Raw genomic sequence first — 4,775 nt, forward strand, 5'->3', positions numbered from 1 at the left:
ATAGCTAAAATTCATCAAGTCCTTATACGTGCAAGCATTATGTTAGGTCCTCTATATACATTCACACACCTACTACACAGTGATCAGTTACTGTCTGTATTCATATTTTACAGATATGTAAACTGACACTTGGGGAGGTAAAGCACATTTCTCAGGACAATTCGGGTGGTAAGTGGCAGAGCTAGGATTTAAACCTAGGTTTATTTACTATTTAGGTTTATTTACTATTAAGGTCAGAGTTTTTACCATGTAGATGTAATTAAATAGGAAACAGCTGTTGCTCATAGTCTTTTAGGGTTTTAGATATTCCTGGGCATGTCTTCTAGGGCTCCTGAAATAGTCTTTGTGGCAATAACAGGGCATCCAGGGTTATCCTCTTTTCTGGTTCCCATGGAGCTCCAGGAGGGTCTCTGCCGCCTACCCTGCAGTAGCACCACTTCCCACCTTCATTGGAGCTACCACTGGCTCCCAGAAGTTCCATTACCCTACTGCCTCACTAACTTAAAGTTGTATCCTTACAGAAACTGGTATTGGCTCTTTTTCTTTCCCACTATGATGCAGCCATATTTGCAGTTGTTGGAGTCCTGTTCTTCCAACTCTTCACAATGCCATCGCCCTCTTACCTTTTATATTTTATTTTATTTTATTTTATTTTAGAGACAGGGTCTCACTTGGTTGCCTAGGCTAGAGCACAGTGGTGACATCATAGCTCACTGCAACCTCAAACTTCTGGGCTCAAATGATCATCCTGCCTCAGCCTCCCAAGTAGCTGGGACTACAGGTACATGTCATCACACTTGGCAAATTTTTATTTTTATCTTGTAGAGACAGAGTCTCGCTATGTTGCCCAGGCTGATCTTGAACTCTTGGTCTCAAGTAATCTTTTTGCCTCAGCCTCCCAAAGTGCTGAGATTGCAGGCATAATCCCACTGCACTTGGCTGCCATTTTCCTCTTACCTTTTATGTCTCCTTAAAGAAGGCTTCCATCACCATACAAGTATATTATTATTATTATTTTTAATTTTTTTATTATCATTACACTTTAAGTTTTAGGGTACATGTGCACAATGTGCAGGTTTGTTACATATGTATACATGTGCCATGTTGGTGTGCCGCACCCATTAACTTGTCATTTAACATTAGGTATATCTCCTAATGCTATCCCTCCCCCCTCCCCCCACCCCACAACAGGCCTCGGAGTGTGATGTTCCCCTTCCTGTGTCCATGTGTTCTCATTGTTCAATTCCCACCTATGAGTGAGAACATGCGGCGTTTGGTTTTTTGTCCTTGCAATAGTTTGCTGAGAATGATGGTTTCCAGTTTCATCCGTGTCCCTACAAAGGACATGAACTCATCATTTTTTATGGCTGCATAGTATTCTATGGTGTATATGTGCCACATTTTCTTAATCCAGTCTATCGTTGTTGGACATTTGGGTTCCTTCCAAGTCTTTGCTATTGTGAATACTGCTGCAATAAACATGCGTGTGCATGTGTCTTTATAGCAGCATGATTTATAATCCTTTGAGTACATACCCAGTAATGGGATGGCTGGGTCAAATGGTATTTCTAGTTCTAGATCCCTGAGGAATCACCACACTGACTTCCACAATGGTTGAACTAGTTTACAGTCCCACCAACAGTGTAAAAGTGTTCCTAGTTCTCCACATCCTCTCCAGGACCTGTCGTTTCCATTGTTTCCTGACTTTTTAATGATCGCCATTCTAACTGGTGTGAGATGGTATCTCATTGTGGTTTTGATTTGCATTTCTCTGATGGCCAGTGATGATGAGCATTTTTTCATGTGTCTGTTGGCTGCATAAATGTCTTCTTTTGAGAAGTGTCTGTTCATATCTTTTGCCCACTTTTTGATGGGGTTGTTTTTTTCTTGTAAATTTGTTTGAGTTCATTGTAGATTCTAGATATTAGCCCTTTGTCAGATAAGTAGGTTGCGAAAATTTTCTCCCATTTTGTAGGTTGCCTGTTCACCCTGATGGTAGTTTCTTTTGCTGTGCAGAAGCTCTTTAGTTTAATTAGATCCCATTTGTCAATTTTGGCTTTTGTTGCCATTGCTTTTGGTGTTTTAGACATGAAGTCCTTGCCCATGCCTATGTCCTGAATGGTATTGCCTAGGTTTTCTTCTAGGGTTTTTATGGTTTTAGGTCTAACATGTAAGTCTTTAATCCATCTTGAATTAATTTAATTAATTTTTGTATAAGGTGTAAGGAAGGGATCCAGTTTCAGCTTTCTAAATATGGCTAGCCAGTTTTCCCAGCACCGTTTATTAAATAGGGAATCCTTTCCCCATTGCTTGTTTTTGTCAGGTTTGTCAAAGATCAGATGGTTGTAGATATGTGGCATTATTTCTGAGGGCTCTGTTCTGTTCCATTGATCTATATCTCTGTTTTGGTACCAGTACCATGCTGTTTTGGTTACTGTACACACAAGTATATTATATCTGTACTCCCACTTCTGTTTATTTCCAACTGTGTTTGTCCATTGCATGCTACTATAACAAAATATCACAGACTGGGTAATTCATAAAGAACAAAAATTTATGTCTCACAGTTCTTGAGGCTGGGAAATCCAAGATCATCTGGTGAGTGCTACTGTCAGCTTCCATGATGGCGCCTTGAATGTTGCATTCTTTGGAGAGGAGGAACATTGTATCATCACATGGCAGAAACTGGAAGGGCTAAAAGGAATGTACTCCCTCTGTCAAGCCCTTTTATAAAGCCCTTGCTGTCATTCACAAGGAAGAAGCCCTCCTTATCTAATTGCCACTTAAAGGCCCTTCCTGTAGGCCAGGCGCAGTGGCTCACACCTGTAATCCCAGCATTTTGGGAGGCCAAGGCAGGCAGATGACCTGAGGTCAGGAGTTCAAGATCAGCATGGCCAACATGGCCAAAACCCGTCTCTACTAAAAATACAAAAAACTAGCAGGGCGTGGTGGTGCATGCCTGTAATCCCAGCTACTTGGAAGGCTGAGGCAGGAGAATAGCTTGAACTCAGAAGGCTGAGGCAGGAGAATAGCTTGAACCCAGGAGGCAGAGGTTGCAGTGAGCCGAGATCGCACTAATGCACTCCAGCCTGGGTGATAACGCAAAACTCCATCTCAAAAAAGCAAAACAAAACAAAACAAAAAAACAAAACAAAACACCCTACCTGTTAAGTCTATCATATTGGCCATTAAGTTTTAAGACATGAATTTTGGAAGTGACACATTCAAACTATAGCAGGTACTAATTACAGTTTGTAAATATATGTGTATTTGGTACTTAACTTACCTGCATTTTCACCCATTAGATGGTAAATTCCACAAAAATGGGATCCATATCTGCTTTACTCTTCAGAATCTTCTGGATGATTAACATTGTGACCAGCATTTGCTGAACATGAAACAAACACTTGTTGAATGTGTGAATCACCTTCAACCTTGGTTTGAGCCCCTTAAACTACAGATGGGATTTAATATAATCAACATATAAAGGTGACTGCATGTAGAACAAGGTATAGGAAGAAAATACTGTCAGTTACATTTATATTTACTATTTATGTAAATAAAAAGTATGGAATTAGGTTTAATAACATTTTACCTACAAATTCTTCTGAGCTATCCTTGGGGAAGAATACGAATCCCATATGAGGCTGTGTTGGCAGAAGTCCCCTCATGCTATTGTTTGTGATACGTACATTGAGATATATTGGAATTTATACATCTTTATTAAATGGATCTGCAGAGTATCTTACCAAGTTCCAACCGAACTAACATGGGCAAATATCATATACAGATTCTTGCAAATATGCTGTAGATTGGAGATGATAATATACTAATAACTGAAGCACAAATGAATAATTGAAAATAAAGAAACCGAAACTTCTAGTGCTAGAATGAAATCCTTTAAAGCCACAAAACCATGTAAAAAACAAGCAAACAATGATTATCTAATCAGATTTGACGCACTGAAAAGTTGGTGCCCACAAAGCTAATTTATCAAGAAGAACATCTAATTTAAAGATTTATATTTACTGTTGTTAACGATCAACTTTGCACTGTGTGTTGTGCCTTGAGATAGATATTAGCTAATGTTAGTAGAATGAAGCCATCACAATTAGCGAGACATTTAAAAACTAACCATCTGGAACTTGAAGGCAAACCCTAGAGTTGTTTCAGGGATATTAAGAAGCATACAGTGCTCATTCCAGTACCTTACTAAATTTTGTTACACTTAATGATTAAAGTGTAGAAGACTATTTTGAGGTTTCTTAAGAGCAAGAAATAAAGAGCCACATATTTGTTCTTCTTACTGCGGTAAAGATAGTTGAAGTAAGATACAAAAAATAATGTACAGCACAAGCTAAAATAGTTACATTTGTCGATAAATACTGCAAAATATTGCAAAAAATTATGTAAAAATAATGCATGAAGCTATTAATAAAATGTGAAGAAACAACCATCATTTTGAATTATAAAATATGAAACATATCTGTATAGTTTAATAAAGGTACAGGAATTATAATTTGTCTCAATTTATGGTATTTGCTAAATTTTGATTCAATAACATAAACTTTTTATTTTGAACAACTGTAGAAAAGGTGTTCCCAAGAAGTTATATTTTCACTATCCTACAGTTTCTTTAATACAAACTGTGTTTTATGGAAATATGTGGGGTTCTACCAGTGAGTGAAATTATCGATGACGTAGCTATGTTGATAGAAGAAAAATGATTTGGAATTAGGGTTACAACAAAGGCACCAGATGTGAAGTTCATTCGA

This window comes from Homo sapiens, chromosome 5, assembly GCF_000001405.40.
Source record: "Homo sapiens chromosome 5, GRCh38.p14 Primary Assembly".
Classification (NCBI taxonomy): Eukaryota; Metazoa; Chordata; class Mammalia; order Primates; family Hominidae; genus Homo; species Homo sapiens.